Source organism: Homo sapiens, chromosome 9 (genome assembly GCF_000001405.40).
Source record: "Homo sapiens chromosome 9, GRCh38.p14 Primary Assembly".
Taxonomy (NCBI): domain Eukaryota; kingdom Metazoa; phylum Chordata; class Mammalia; order Primates; family Hominidae; genus Homo; species Homo sapiens.
In genome coordinates this window covers 114,927,411-114,944,484 of record NC_000009.12, presented here as the reverse complement: position 1 = coordinate 114,944,484, position 17,074 = coordinate 114,927,411, and the positions used below count along the sequence as shown (strand labels likewise).

The following is a 17,074-nucleotide window of genomic DNA, read 5'->3' as shown; positions in this document are numbered from 1 at the left end:
GAGGTCAGGAGATCGAGACCATCCTGGCTAACAAGGTGAAACCCCGTCTCTACTAAAAATACAAAAAATTAGCCGGGCGCGGTGGCGGGCGCCTGTAGTCCCAGCTACTGGGGAGGCTGAGGCAGGAGAATGGCGTTGAACCCGGGAAGCGGAGCTTGCAGTGAGCCGAGATTGCGCCACTGCAGTCCGCAGTCCAGCCTGGGCGACAGAGCGAGACTCCGTCTCAAAAAAAAAAAAAAAAAAAAAAAAAAAGAAGAGACCAGAGAGCTTGCTCCCTCTCTTTCCACCATGTAGGATGCAGCAAGAAGGCAGCCATCTGCAAGCCATGAAGGGGGCCCTCATCAGAACCTGACCCTGCTGGCACTCTGATCTCTGACTTCCCAGCCCCCAAAACTGTGAGAAATAAATGTCTGTTGTTTAAGCCACCCAGTCTAAGGTATTTTATTATAGCAGCCCAAGAAGACTAATGCAGTCTCCTGCAATGGATGGGAGTGGGGGTGGGGGACAATTTGCTGCACTCATGGATACTTCAACCTTACTTATATAGTTTCTTACACAATTGTTAAAGCATAGTTCTGAAAAAGTGTGCAAAGAAAACGCTTTATGTCCACCACATTATTTCCTCTTCCTGGACACACAGAAGGAGCACATTTCCCTTACTTGTACTTGGATGCAGGTCACATGACTGAGTCCTGGTTAATCGAATGCAGACAGCAGTGCTAGAGAGAGAAAGATTTTATATATACAGATATATATATCTATATATATATATATAGATATATATATATATATATATACACATATATATGTCATTCCCATGCCTGACCCAAAAAATATCCCGTGTGCAATATTCCACAGTCTTCCCCTCCATTACCACCTTGTAGGTTAACAGGGCTACTTGTCACCTATTATACTTCAAACAAGTGAGAAATACATTTTTCTTTTATTAAGCCCCTGATATTTCAGGGCTTATTTGTCACTGCTGCATATCCTGGTATTTTCCTGACTAATGCAAAGAGGCAGAGTGGAACAGTGGAAAAAGAAAGAAAGAGATCAAGGGTTTGAGGCCTGGTTCAACCATCAGCTTGTGATGTGACATTGGAACATCATCTCCTCTGTAGCCCTGAATTTTCTCATTCATGCTACTCAAATGTGAATAGATCACCATGAACGGTCTCTGATTTTGCCCCATATCTACCTGGAAGCCAGATTCAATGCTTCATTATATCCCTCCCTCCCACACATACACACAGTCCTAAACGCAGTGATAAATCACATTGTTTTTCACTGACGAATTTCTTGGATGATAACAACAGGGATTATAGCTAGAATGACCTTATATGTCATGGTTTGGCTAGGAAAATCTCCATTTATGCCTGTTGTCTCAGTGTAATTCATTATGGTTATTAATAAAAGAGCCCCCCATTTGCCTCTTAGGCATTCTGGTTTAAACAATAAATTATGGGGTTAAGGTAGTTATATCATACACAATTCTTACCAGACACCTCTCTGCCCATTCTATTGTTCTCCCTCCACCTTGAGGCTTCATCATCCCCAAAAGTCTTCCCTGGAATCCTTTACTAAGTAAAGTTTACTGGATCATCTGCCTGCAGCCATCTAGCTGGCTGAGAAATTGCTCAGAGAAATACCTAACTCACAATCATATTCCATGGCCTCAAACTGGCCACATGGCCTCACTCTAATTGCAAGGCAGACAGGTTATTGTAGACTTCCTGGTGGCCTTGTATGCTCATGAACTTAAAACAAATTGGTATATGTAAAGTTTTTGTTTTGTTTTGTTATTATTATTATATTTTATTTTCTTGCTATAAAGACAGAGGTATATGTCAAGTTTTAATAAAATGCCTTTGCTTTCTCTGTAGGAAAATGACTATGGGGTAACTTTATAGCACTATTCCCTGGAAGCTATTCCCTGATAAAGGTGGAATGGCATTGTTAATGAGGAAAATGACATCTGATTGATAAACTGATTCTACACTGGGCAAATTGTGAATGAATATGAATACCTGGAGGGAAGGCATAGATTTGAGCTTCCCATAGTGCAAGACCTGGATGCTGTTATAACAGATATTGGTTCCTATGGAGCTTTGAGTTTTTAAGCTAGGATGGTTCCCATACTTAATCTTGTAGTCTCTACAACAACAACAACACCTGTGTTTTTGGTGGGAGGAGGAGCCTGGCCCTTGGACTGCCATGAAGACTCACACCAAAAAGATGATATGCTTGATGCTGCCCTCTTGGCCTGCTGTGTTTCCTCTGGAACACTCTTCTAAGTGAAATTGACCACTGTGGTCATGTGACTTTGATTACTTTTCCTTGCTATTCAAAGTATGCATCTTGGAGAAGGAGTATCAGCATTTTCCCAGGACTTGTGAGAAATGCAGTCAACCTCCTCCCCTACAGACCTACTAAATTAGAATCTACAGTTTAACAAGGTCTCACCATGACTCTTACGCACAGTTAAAGTTTGAGAGGCAGCGGTATGAATGAACCAGGACTATGGCTAATCAAATAGCCTCCAGTCCCAACACAGCCTAGACAACAATTTCCCTCAATGTTTTAAGTGTATTAACAGTTAGGCTTTATTACCTTCCCTCAGAAATGTTTACCAAGCTCCATCACATGAAAGCAAGAGAAAAAGACAATAAGAGAAAATCCATGTAGACTAGAACACAAGGCTCCCCTGGTCCCATGAAGTCCAGGAGAGCTGGGCCAGTTTCGCTCAGCCTGGACCCTCCAATAAACATCTACAGGGAAATTAAAGGCAGGACTTCATGGGAGAAGCTCAAGGCCAAGAGAGTCCTTCCTGCTTTTCCAGCCATGCATGGGTTCCAGCTCTCTGACAGCAGAGGAATTGTCTTCTATAGTGTTGCCAAATTGGCACAGTGAGGCCCTTAGACTGATACTTTATTCTCTCCCAGTTCCCATTCTGTCCAGCTGTTCATCAGCTATACTAACATCTTTTGAAGTGAAGAACAGAATGGGCTACCCCGGAAAGCAACTTTTTGGAGAACAAAGAAAAGGGCACACAGGGCTGGGTCAACTACTCTGTGGGCTGGCTTCAGAGGGAGAAATTTAATTTTATTTTTATATATTCCACATTCCCTGGAAAGAGGTAGTGAGAAGTCATGCCTGGTGTTTAGATAAGGAAATACTAGATTTTCCTATGAGAAATAGGAAACCACATGTATTAAAAATGAAAACAACCATATAACATATATTCCATATGGTCCCAAGATATTACTTATAGTCTTCTCTATGGGTAAGGATTATGAGTTGTTTCCAGTACCTTCTTTATAAAAAATAACACATAATATAATGCATTGTATTATAAAAATAATACAATCACACATTTTTTATTTGAAATGAAAATACATAAAATGTGAAAACAAAAGAGATAAATACAAGAGGTCTTCAAAAAACTTTATGAAAAATGCATATTGTGAACAAACTCCATGAAGTTCAAAAATGTTTTGCACCAAAATAAACTCATACTAACTTGTTATAACATGTCTGAAACAGATTTAGTTTGAGGCACTAAAAAGGAAATATAGTTTGAAAAGCTCCCATATCAGAATGAAGTGAATTCTGCTAGAATGGAAGCAAGAACAAACATCAAATTTTTGGTGAAGCTTGAGTGGAAGAATGGTGAAATCAATGATGCTTTACAAAAAGTTTATGGGGACAATGCCCCCAAAGAAATCAACAGCTTACAAATGGATAACTGGGAGTGTGGAAGATGGGAGAAAAGTGAAAAGATTGTCTTGGGTGATTTGAAAAGAAAGAAGGGAGAGTTGTTCTTGTCTGGAGATGTAGCCCAATGATTTATTTGGCTAGCTTGGAGTCTCACACTTCAAGTCAACATAAGAAAGGCTCACCCCTGGCCAGGTGTGGTGGCTTACATTTGTAATACTAGCACTTTGGGAGGCCAAGGCAGGAGGATTGCTTTAGCCTAGGTGTTCAAGACCAGACTGGGCAATATAGCGAGACTTCCACTCTACAAAAATTTATTTTTAATTAGCCAGGCATAGTGGCACATGCCTGCAATCCTAGCTACTTAGGGCACTGAGCTGGTATATGTAAAGTTTTTGTTTTGTTTTGTTACTATTATTATATTTTATTTTCTTGCTATAAAGACATAGGTATACGTCAAGTTTTAATAAAATGCCTTTGCTTTCTCTTTAGGAAAATGACTATGGAGTAACCTTATAGCACTATTCCCTGGAAGCTATTCCCCGATAAAGGTGGAATGGCATTGTTAATGAGGAAAATGACATCTGATTGATAAACTGAGGTGGGAGGATGGCTTGAGCCCCAGAGGTCAAGGCTGCAGTAAGCAGCATGCAGTGATCATGCCACTGTACTCCAGTCTGGGCAACAGAGCAAGACCCTACCTCAGAAAAAAAAAAAAGAAAAGAAAAATGAAAGCAAAGGCTCAGATCCTTTCAACAAATGTAAATTAAGTGCCCGCTATGTATTATACAAGGAGATTCAGGTGTTTTAAACACACAATATCCATCCTTTAACCACTCTAAAAGTGAAAATGATTATTATCACGCTACCAGTGGAAACAACTGAGACTTGGGGTGACTGAGTGGCCCCCCTAAAGGCTGCAAGCACCTACCTTATTGCAGGGCTTCATAGATGTTTGTTTTGGAGTAGAAGAAAGTGGAAGGGGAGTTGAAGCCAGATCTGCATTTCCTAGACACCTCTTTGAACTATTCTTCAAATATTCAGTCTTCTATAGCTTCACTGAGGACAAATTTCCCAGAGAAATTTGCTCCACTCAGTCTTTCCATTTTCAACACCTTTTGCATCCCCCACATTGACTATCCCCTCTCTGGCCCCTCTGCCCATAGGCATCAAGCAAACACCCACACTTGGGCAATTACTGTCTTCCAATCCTCCCTTTCTTTGCACAGCTGAAAGTTCAATGTTAAGAAGGCGAAGTAATTAAAAGTATAAAAAGAAAAAAATCACTGTAAAATGAATTGGTGCTCTATGCTGTGGTTCACCTGTTTCTCTTTTGCTTGTCTTTTCACAGCTGAATATATGCACCACTGTACAGCTAATGTACCTGTCCAATCTGATATAGCTTACTCAATTGCCCTATCCATGCAGAGATACATTGATTTTTACTTCAAAACCAACACCACCAAGCTTCCTATTTCATAGAAATTGAAAAAAAAAAGAAAAAGCCCACTTTAAAGAGAAAAGGTCACTTCCTGATTTTGCTAACATCAGGAAACAAAGCTTTAGATCTTTCAGTACCTGCCTCCGTCCCCAACAAAGCCTATAAATCTAGCATAACCAGAGGACAGATGCCTTGACTGATGGTACATGTGAAAAGTTTGAGTAACTCAGAAATTAGCCATTCTTCTTTTCAAAAAATTTCAGATCTTGAACTTCTAAAATGTACTCAGATTCAGATCTCTCTCTTTCTCTCTCTTTCTTTCTTTCTTGAAATAGCGTTTGTTCATCCAAACTTTTTGCACACCAATTATGTTCCAGGAACCATTCCAAGAAGGCACCAGTCCCCTGAGACATCTATGTGCAACATTTTCTATCTACTTCTGTTTCGAAAACATGTGTGAGTACATGCACTTAGAGGCAAAAGGCAGAGTGGGGAGAGACAGATATTTGGAGGATGGAAGTCAGCAAGAGGGAACCAGAGAAAAAGCCAGGCCTGAGCTGAGATCTCTTTTCTGGGATGGTCCTGTGTTTTTGGATCTCTGTAAAATGAAAAAAAAAAAAAAAAAAAAAGCCTTAAAACAAATCGTGTTTTTCCTGATATTTTGTATTTAAAATTACTAGGTAAATGTACAGTTTAAACATTTATTAGGAGCCTGCTAGGCATGAACATGTACAAACCACATGCTGTATTCTCAAGGTGCTTACACTGCATTTGGGGAGAGGCCTACATAGCTACCTAGAATACAGGTAATATAATTACATACTGGTTACAGCAACTTTCTCTGGAATCAGGCAGACCTGTGCAACAATGCTTTGAGAAGAAAGAAGGGAGAGTTGTTCCTCTCTGGAGATGTAGCCCAGTGATTTATTTGGCTAGCTTGGAGTCTCACACTTCAAGTCAACATAAGAAAGGCTCACCCCTGGCCAGGTGTGGTGGCTTACATTTGAAATACTAGCACTTTGGGAGGCCAAGGCAGGAGGATTGCTTTAGCCTAGGTGTTCAAGACCAGACTGGGCAATATAGCGAGACTTCCACTCTACAAAAATTTATTTTTAATTAGCCAGGCATAGTGGCACATGCCTGCAATCCTAGCTACTTAGGGGACTGAGTTGGTATATGTAAAGTTTTTGTTTTGTTTTGTTACTTTCTCCGTCAATTAGTAGCAGTAAAAACTTGGAAAAGCCATTTTGCCACTCCAAGTCTCAGTTTCTTTATCTGCCAAATGTGAATAATAGCATTAGTGGGATTATTGTCAAACTAAGTGAAATTATGAGCATCATGTGCTTAGCACATAAAATCGTAATATGAGCTCACTAAAGGTAGGCCGTTGTTGTGACGGTAAAATAGTAATTAGTACTCTCATCATTATTGATTGCAGGTAGAAGCATAATATGAAACCCTACAGAGGAAAGAAGGATTTCTTTCTTACTGGAAGTTGAGGGAGGAAGCACAGAAATGAGGCAATATATGAGCAGTAACTTTTTTTTTTTTAATGAAAGATGTATGAAAGGGTTTTCGATGTCACAATGAGGATGCCGCCTGCACAAAAATGGAGTCAGGCACTGGGGTTGGAATAAAGAAGTGTGCCTGGAGTCAAGGGAGTGGAATCAGAGGCTGAAAACAAAGCTAAGGGGAAGGCCAGGGAGGCCTTCCAAGGAAACATGACCAGGATTTTGCAGGCACGGGGAGATGTTGAAAGATTTTAAACTGGAAGAGGAAGGGAGTGAAATGAACTAGAAAGAGTTTGGGTTGGAGCCTTACTCGTCAAGCTAGTGTAGAGGTAGAAGAGTTAACCTCAATGAAGTCCCCTAGAGAATGACAGATCAGCTTAAGATTTCCCTACTGTGTACACATAACACCATGAATTGTCTGTTATTAATATAAATTAGGTTATATAATAATTACTTATTTAACTTCTTGTCTTACCCACCTTACTGTAAGTTTCATGAAAGCAGAGATAATGTTTGACTTGCTCATTGTTACATGGGCAGCACCTAGCACATATTAAGCTCTCAAATACCCAATGGATGTCTCTTCCTTTATCCATTATTAATCGATATAGAAGGACTTTCCCCAGCTTTGCAAAGAATGCAGACTCATCTCTCTTCTTTGAATGACAATGGAGTTATTAAGGACCATGTAACTAATAGAGTTTTCTAGCCATTCAGCTATACTGGAAGCCCCCAGAAGCCAGAAAAGTGATGTTCTTTTTTATTTTTTATTTCCTTGAATCTCCTACTTCCCTAGTATTAGTTTATCATTAGTCCTGCATCACTAAAAATCATAAAACTACATTAAAAAAAAGTTTCAGTATTTCCACTTGGTAAAATCTGCCATTATCCTAATTCATTGCAATGGCATGCTTTAAATTCATAGATTACATTCATCTGGTATTTTGGAATATGTTGCATATCTCAAAGCGCTAATATAACCAGCAATATATCCATTTCTCCTTTTAAGCTCATCTGCTTTTTATGACCAAAGAGAGTTATGCAATCCAATGTATCTGCTTCTTTTCCCTGGTTACCAGGAAGCTCATAAATATACATGTTATGCTTAACTATTAAAACTGTTATCAGACAGGATTTCTTAATACATTCACTTTACTCTCTACTTTTATATCTTGACTCCTACCTTTTACTTTGTGTTAATGGCTTCAGTATATACCTGTGCATTTATTTTACATTGTCTCAAAACCTTTTTAAGGTTGACAGGAAGATGATAGATAGGGAGATAGATAGATAGATAGATAGATAGATAGATAGATAGATAGATAGATGATAGATCAATAGATAAATATATGATTTAAATACACACATATATATATCACCAATACTGGAAGTATATCTATCTAACTCCCAGATGGCTTCTGTCCCACCTTTCTATCAGCTCTGTCTTCTTCAGTAATCTATTTTTGTCATCCACCAACCAGAACACATAGCTTCTCTACAATTAGTGAATTCCAAAAAGAATCTTCTCACATGAAGCATGAGTTAACAATTTAGACATTAGGGAAGATTTTATAGAGTTGCCTTTTTTTTTGTACCAATTTATGGGCCACATGTGAAATTTTGTTACATGTGTATAATGCACAGTGATCAAATCATGGTATTTAGGGTGTCCAGCTCCTGAGTAAAGTATATTTTTGTTTAAATATAGTCATACTACTCTACTATCAATCAGTGAATTTATTTTTTCTATCCTCTGTATATTCATACGCTTTAACCCACTTCTCTTTGTCTTCCCACTCCCCCTGCACTCACCCTTCCCAGTTTATATTCTTCATCTTTCTACTCTCTACCTCCACGTGACCCAATTTTTTAGCTGCCACTTGTAAATGAGAACATGTGATATTTGTCTTTTTGTGCCTGCTTATTTCACTTAAGATAATGATCTCTAGTTTAATCCATGTTGTTGCAAATGACATGATTTTAGTCTTTGTTATGGCCAAATAGTATTTCATTGTGCATATATACCATATTTTCTGTATCCATTCATCTGTTTATGAACACTTAAGTTGATTCCACATCTTTGCTATTGTGAATAGTGCTGCAGTAAACATATGAGTGCAGGTATCTCTTTGATATACTGATTGTTTTCCTCTGGGTAGAGACCCAGTAGTGGGATTGCTGGATCAAATGGTAGTTCTATTTTCAGCTTTATGAGGACTCTTCGTATGATTTTTCATGGTGGCTGTACTGGTTTACATTCCTACCAATAGGGAATTGAGTTCCTTTTTCTCTGCATGGAAGTGTATTAGGAAATGCATTTCTGTTCTTTTTCCCAGATCTCTTTCGGTTACCCTGCCTTGAGTCTATTTTAATACTCTAAACCAAGGGTCAGCAAGCTTTCTCTGTAAAGGTCTAAATAGCAAATATTTTAGACTTCGGCAGCTGTGAGGTCTCTGTTGAAACCACTCAGATTTGCTGTTGTAGTGGAATTGAAGCCATAGATGTATACACAAAGGGATATAATTACATTTCAATACAACTTCAATTACAAAAATAGGTGCCTGCCAGATTTGGCCTATGGTTCAGTTTGCTAGCCCTGTTCCAAATCTTCCTCCCACTGCCCCTGTCCTCACTGGGCCCTCTCAATGAAGTGTCACTGTGGCTCGACTCCAACATCCAATCTCTTCAAGTTAGCCCCAGCAAGACAAAGAGCTCTAAAGTTAAAGGGACAGGACCCTCCCTCCTCAAAAGGCCATTTAGTTACATGTGTTATTGCTTGAATATACCCTGGGTGAGTCTGTCCTTGTCTCACATATACCCATAGTTTAAAAATATATATTCCTACCATGTACAGTGATCATCAAAAGATAATCTTAAATGGATAAAATTATTAAGTTACTTTTAATGGCAAAAACCGCAATCACTTTTGCACCAATCTAATGATTTTTAAATGGAGTAAAATGTCTCCATTCTATTCCAAATATATCTGCATTCCAGAAAGGTTCTGAAGGTATTTCTAGAGCCTGCAGCCGTAGTCAAGGTTAGAAAGAGGGCTCAATAAAGGGAGCAGAAAAACTAGTCTGTAAACCAACATGACCCAGCTACATGGCCCCAGACAATAACTTTTATTATGCCTCAGTTTCCCTACCTACACAATGGAGGTGGTAGTTTACCTGTCCAAAGGCTAAATTTTGGACCAGATGATCTCTTGGAGATTGTTTCCCTAAATCAGTGTTTTTCAAATGGTCTCAGGCATCTGCATTCCCTGGGGTGCTTTGTTAAAACAGACTACCAGACCCCAGCCTGAGTTTCTGAATTAGAGTAGGTCTAGAGGGTCTTAAAGTGGCACCAAGTTCCCAGGTGCTACTGCTGCCACTGCTGGTGTGGGCTTACACCTGAAGGCCTCTAGTCTCTACAACAGAGATCTCCCAGTCCCTTATACAGGAAAGCAATGTTGGAGGAATGGCTACTGCTGGCTTCCCTTTACTTTTCAAAATGGCTTTCCTTCTTGAAGGGATGAGACGTTAGTTCTATTTGCCCACTGAGTCTCAGGCACTGCAGCCACATCTCAGCAGCCAATTCCAGGCTGAAAGGAGGCTGGGTGGTCACTCTCATGAGGCCATTCTCTGGAGAAAGATAGAGACACGGAGTACAGTTGAGAAGAGAGAGGCAAGAATGCCACCACACAATTCCTTTACATAAGCCACTCTTCTAGAACTTTCTCTTTCCATAAACATGAAGCATAGATTGAAGGTCAACCCTGCATATATGACCAGCAGCAAGAAACGCAAGGTGGGATGCAAGGACTTAGAAGACTAGGAAAGTGCAGACCGCCCTCAGGGACTCTCATCTTATGAGCAAGGCAACATTTACATGTGTTTACACACTTGGGTTCCACATCAAGAGAAGTAGATAATTAGACAATTAGGTTATGTGGCATGAAAATAGAGGCATTCCAGAGAGGGTGTTGGTGGACTTGAGAGATCTGGGCAAGCATTCCTGGAGATGGTGAGGCGGGTTGGCAAAGGCTGGAAGGGAGAGGAAGAACAGGAGCAGTGGAAAGCCAAGTAAAACACGAGAGGAAGCCTGGATGCACCTGGAATATTAGCAGAGCCGACATGAGAATGAGCAGAGAGGGCCGGGCAAGCAGAGGGGGTTGGGTGCGGTAGCTCATGCCTGTAATCCCAGCACTTTGGGAGGCCGAGACAGGCAGATTACGAGGTCAGGAGTTCAAGACCAGCCTGGCCAACATGGTGAAACCCTATCTCTACAAAAGATTAAAAAAAAAAAAAAATAGCCAGGCCTAGGGGTGTGTGCCTGTAATCCCAGCAACTCAGGAGGCTGAGGCAGGAGAATCACTTGAACCTAGGAGGCAGAGGTTGCAGTGAGCCGAGATTGCGCCATTACACTCCAACCTGGGTGACAGGGCGAGACTCAGTCAAAAAAAAAAAAAAAAAAAAAAAAGGAGAGAGAATGAGCAGAAGGGACTCTTACACCTGTCTCTCTCCCTGATGGTATGTACTTCCTTTAGTTGTTCCCATTTCTGTGTCCCAGTTTCCTCCTTTTGTGGAATGAAGGATTCAAGCCAAATTTTCTGAAGTTTCTAAATTTTATTCACCTTGGAGAGACCCCATGCCAGAAAAGGGCAAATGAGCAGGTGAAGCTTAGCCCTTCTCTTTGTCCCACCTGTGCTTCAGCCAAAGCAGCCCTGTTTTCTTATGTTTTTATATTCCTTATACAGCTTTGCTTCCAGAAAGGATTTAAAACTTACTCAACAAGAAATTCTATAAAGGCTCCTTCCATCTGCACATCGTACAGCTTGAGTAGAAGACAGAAAGAAGCCAGTTAGCACAGGTCATGGATTTCTATGTTGGCCAGGCTAGATTCTAGAACAGCTGGAAAGCAGAGAGGGGCTTAGAGCAATGGGGGTGGGAAATAGGGAGCCACTGAAGGTTTGTGAGTAGAGGAGTGTCACAGCAAAAGAATGAATTGAGCCCACAAACTACTGTACTAGGAACTGATCCGAAAATCTCAACTGCTCAGAAAGTTGAGTAAAAACAAAGGGTGATTTTTCCCCCTTGTCAGCCTTCCCTCCCAGGACATTGTATTGTATGCAAAACGGGTAACTGTAAGACAAACATTTTTTTCCACTGCCCTTCTCAGCCCCACAGGCCTTCAGGAAGACCCGAACTTCAAGCAAAGCCTTTTTATTTTTCAACACCCACAGCTTCCATTCAACAATCAGAAGTTTTCCACTTTGATCAAAGAGGCTGAACAAGAGGGCCAAGGGAGCAGCTGGTTCTCAGCAACTCTGGGCAGACCACAGAGCCCTTGCTACCCACTCACTGTCCGTGCCCACCAGAGGACACAGCCTTCTCCCCAAATCAGCCAGGTACATGCCCCAGAAAACACTGGCTTGCCTCGTTCCCACCTTAATTACCGGACCAAACGAACGTGAACACACTGTTTTCAAAACCAAACTCAATTGGGATCACGGGGGCCTCGGTTTCCTTGATTGTAAAATGGGTATATCGCCCCCCACTCTATTTAGCCCAAGAAAACAATTTATCTCTTGATGTCTCTTTCGTCTCCAGGATCTATGCTTTTACAGACTCACTGGGAGGAAATATCCAGACCAAATCCTAAAGCCTGATCTAATTTGGGAGATGCTCAGAAGTTTTGGTTCTATGCAAGAACAGCAGTGGTAATAATCCAAGCTTGGCTTTAGACACAGGACGTTTCCTTAGGGGCATCTGGGATCTCTGCTGGCTCAAAGTGATGCGCTGCAGACAAAAAGTGAGCAGAAAGGAAAGGAGGTGCTATGCAGAATGAGCTTCTTCCACGGTGATACCAAATGGAGCTTTCAAAGGCCCACATCTGGAGGCAGCAGCTATGCAGTGATTAACATTTTAAACGGTATTTTGAAATGGAGATCATTAGTAACCACAGATGTGATCTGACTCTGTCCCCCAGGTAATCTGTCTATTGTATCTAAATTCCAGACTTAGCCCAGTAGACAGCTTGGGATGTTTAACAGGAATTGTCCAACACCATCCCCAAATCTATTTTTATTCATGGAGTACTCTGACATCATCTCGCTTGGTCTTCCTGATGACTGTAATGCAGATTGGGAACAGAGAAAGCCATAAAGACTTGTATGATGGCCCAAGGCTAAGAAGGGAAAGGGCTGAGACCACACTTCAGGTTTTAGCTTTCAGGTGCAGTGAAGATTGAATGACTTAGCACGAGCTTTCAGCCAGGCAGGCTGCAAAGTGCACCCAAGTTCTTTCAGTGATCGACACTTGCGACTTAGGTTGAGATAGTTTTCATCCTCCCTGAGCCTCAGTTTTCCCATCTGTAAAAAATAAACATTGCCTGCCTCGGAGGGTGGAGGTGGAAGTGGAATGAAGCCACATGTAACTCCTAGCGCTGTGCCTGAGACAGTAGAGGTTCAATTATAGTAGTCACATACACACACAACACATACATACACAAGACACAACACACCACACACAACACATACATACACACCACACACAACACTTACATACGCACCACACTCGGCATGCATTGCAGATCACAAATGCACACCACACACACACTGCATACATATACCATAGAGAACACACAACACCTACACATACCCCCATACCACAAATACACACACACTACATAGTACACCACGCAGAACACACACAGCCCCCATATTCCACACCACACCATCTCACTGCCAATTCCTTCCCCTCTTCATGAGTTTTACGGCAGGTCCAGGTTCATCTGCCAGTTTAACAGATCCCAAAACTTCTGCAGGAGTGTTTGTTCAAAAGATTGATATTTCCAGATTCCTGCTTTCTGACAGTATCTTTGAACCCCAAATTTCATACTGCCATGAGCCAGTCCCCCTTTGGAGAAATATCTCCATTTGTGTGCCCTTTTTCCCCCAGGGAACCTGCAGCATGTCCCTTTTTCAGCAGTAGCCTATCAAACCGAACCCTTTGGAGTTATTACACTGCAGTCCGAGGGATCCGGCCTCCCTGAGACCCAGCAAGGACTCATTATCTGGGGAGGTCTTCTGAGCCACAGGCCTCGCTGAAAGAAGGTGCAGCTTCTTGAACAGGAAGGCGTTTTGTGGCAGAGTCTAAACGAAACAGAAGTTGCTTTGTGTGTGCGCACGCATGCACACACACACACACACACACACACATACACACACACAGTCGGGGAACCGTCATTTTCCTACGCGCCCTCTGACATCAGCCACCTTCTCTGTAGCTAGTTTCTCTGCACACAACTTAATCCCTGGCAATGAAAAATGAACCTCTCCCCCACCCTTGCTGCCGCCTCTCGCCTCACGCCCCCAGAGAAGAGTTTCTCCACCAGGCAGCAGGTGAAGGTTTTTTTCCAAGTCACATGATTCAGGATTCAGGGGGAGAATCCTTCTTGGAACAGAGATGGGCCCAGAACTGAATCAGATGAAGAGAGATAAGGTGTGATGTGGGGAAGACTATATAAAGAATGGACCCAGGGCTGCAGCAAGCACTCAACGGAATGGCCCCTCCTGGAGACACAGCCATGCATGTGCCGGCGGGCTCCGTGGCCAGCCACCTGGGGACCACGAGCCGCAGCTATTTCTATTTGACCACAGCCACTCTGGCTCTGTGCCTTGTCTTCACGGTGGCCACTATTATGGTGTTGGTCGTTCAGAGGACGGTAAGTGGACTCCTCTTCCTCCCTTTCCTTTTCTTGTTGTTTTCCCGAGAGAAAGAGCCCTGGGAACAAATGATATTCGTTTGTTGGTTAAGAGCACAAAATAAAATTAAATAAATAAACTCTCTCTCTCTATATATATATATATACTATAGTATATACTGTATAACGTAATACACTTATGTTACATAATATATATTATATTATACAGTATATATTATATATATATATATATATGAGAAAGGGAGAAAAGAAAGAGGAACTTAACTCTCTAAAATAATTTGGCTTGTTGAGAAAAATATTGTTAGACCATCATCTTAAAACTTTGCAGATCTGTCTGAGCAAAACAGTGGAGGGGAGCTATTGGCCTTTTAAAGTTAAGATTTAAATCTTAATGAGCCAGAGACCCATATCAAGGAAGGAAGCAATAGAGAAACCTGATAACACATTTGCACAAGTTGTTATCATGTCTTCAAGGACTTCAGACTGGATTCTGAGGTTCTATATCCTAAGTCTGAGTGTCCTGGAGGTTTCTGAGGCCTCACCCATTGCCAAGAGTTTTGTTTTTGCTTTTGTTTTATACAAGGAGCTAAGTTTCAGAGGCCAAGGTCTAGAAGGAAAGGAGGCGAAAGAGAAGACCATGGCTTCTTAGAGCTTTGGACATTTTGGTGTTAAAGCCAGCAAGACAAATCGAAAGCTTCCTCTTAAGCCACAACTTTGAAGAAGTTAGGGCGTCACAAAAAAAAAAAAAAAAGAAACAGCACATAGAAGCAGAAAGTTGAAAGGTTTTTAGCACCTGTTCTCTCTGATGTTCCTCACAATACTAAGCAATCGTTGGGTACACACTGTACAGGGTCAGACTGTCTTCGGAGATTTACTTTGAAGTAAATGGTAAGATTTGTTTCTGAAAACAGAAGAGGAGGAGAAAGAGGAAGCTTCTTCATATTTTAGAAAATTGGTGTTTACAGAGAATCTACCAGTATATATTATATAGAAAATGCTGTAGTAATAGCATATATTGCTCATGAATTTTTTGATGAAGTTGTTAATGGGTAATTTAAGAGCTGCACCCACCCACATGACCTGCCAAAGTGAGAATATTTCTGTTTCTTACTTCATAGTGCCTACTTTTCGTGGTATTATAATCCTGCTGAATTTATTCTGGTTTTTCTTCAGTTTTCTTAGGCCAAGTACTCTATAGCTTATCAATTGCTGGAAAGAACTAGGCTTTAAAAGGCTTTGATATCTATTTCTCAAGTGTCATCAAGCTTTGAAATTAAATGGAAGCTTTGAAGCTCATATCTCTACAAAAGTGAAAAGAAGGAGTTGCAAATATTTGATTTAGATAGTGGAATTCTTAAAACTCATAATTTAATGGCTTATCTACATCTATTAAGTATAATAATCTTGAAAACACTTTAGGACATCTTTTCTTCTGCAGGGGCTCTGCAATTTCTGTAATTCTAATTTGGAGTGAACCAAGGGTATGTCATTTTATAGCAATGGCCAAAGAAAAGAAATTGAAGTGTCCTTTAAGAAGTTCTTTAGTTAAAGGATCCAACTAGAACTGCTGAGAGAGAGAGAGAGATGGTGGAAAAATGGGTGGCGATGGTGATATATAAAGCTAGAGAGAACTTCAGAGCTCATTCATATCCAACTTTTAGTTGAATTGATTTCTTCTATAAAAGAACCAGAGCAGATCTTTCTGCCTCATTTTTGTAAATGTGGAAAATGAGGAGCAGAGAGGGAACAGGGCTTGAACTACGTCACCCTGAGAAAGTGGTAGAGCCAATACTGCTTGATTGCTTGATGCAAGCAGCATCCCCTTTGCCAATACAGACAGCCACAGAAGCACTAAGAAACATTGCACCCACTCTTCTCTTGGGAGCTTTATCTTCTTGTGCATCCACTTCCTTGACTTACCCCTCATGTTTGGATATGAAAAGATTCACTGTGCAATCTGATTGTACAGTGCGGTGTGCTGTGATTTCTTAGACCAGGAAATATCAGTTGCTTCCTTAAAATTAAGGCTTGCCATGTTAATAGTAGCCGTGGTATATAAAGTGTCAAATGCATTGCACATATCATTTTCAATAAATTCCTCAGACCTTAACTGTTGTAAGACCTAACAAGAAAAAAAAAAGCATCATTTTCCCATTAACTTGAGTTATCAGGAAGGGTTTCCTATAGGAAGATGGAATGTAGACTGACTTGAAAACAGGAAGAACTCAGACAAGTGAAGAGACTCTAAAAGAAACTCTAGGAAAGAAATCAATGGGAGAAAGCCAAGGAGCTTAGACTCACATCACCATTATTAAAAATGGAATGAGTTAATGGTCAATTAGCACTCTGTATGTGATGGGAACAGGGGTGGAGAACCATAAGAATGGTTTTACTGGCACAAGAAGTCACACAATTCTTATCCCAAGGCACGTGTATAGACAAAATTTAAAACAGCTAAGTCATAACATATAATGAGTGATTAAAGGGATACCATGACACCACAAGTTAAGGAGAGAATATATTTTTCCAGACAGGTTTAAGAAAAACTCCTGGGGATTAGTTTCAGGTTGGCTTGAGAAATGTGAACAATTTCAAACAGGCAGGGAAGGGAAAGCAGAGGAGAGGCACTCCTAGCCAATGGAACAGCATGAGCAAAGAGACAGAGGAGAGAAGACAGAGAAAGTGTAGGGAAATCAAC

The 17,074-nt window shown here is 40.9% G+C and overlaps 1 protein-coding gene across 2 annotated transcripts in view, besides 1 other annotated feature; it reads left to right on the top strand.

The window, feature by feature from the left end:
- The first annotated feature begins 13,889 nt into the window (after positions 1-13,889).
- TNFSF8 (TNF superfamily member 8) overlaps positions 13,890-17,074 on the top strand; it is a 37,253-nt gene continuing 34,068 nt past the window's right edge. The window contains exon 1 of one of the 2 annotated variants that reach the window (NM_001252290.1): positions 13,890-14,376. In NM_001252290.1, coding sequence (NP_001239219.1) covers positions 14,182-14,376 — 195 coding nt within the window. In that variant the 5' untranslated portion in view covers positions 13,890-14,181. The remainder of the gene's footprint in view (positions 14,377-17,074) is intronic. The other variant, NM_001244.4, reaches the window with a different exon arrangement.
- Positions 14,241-14,800: an enhancer, noted in NCBI's record as "H3K4me1 hESC enhancer chr9:117691965-117692524 (GRCh37/hg19 assembly coordinates)". NCBI's record gives its function as "activates a minimal SCP1, AML or CMV promoter by ChIP-STARR-seq in primed H9 embryonic stem cells {active_cell/tissue: H9 hESC(primed)}" and the evidence as "EXISTENCE:reporter gene assay evidence [ECO:0000049][PMID:30033119]".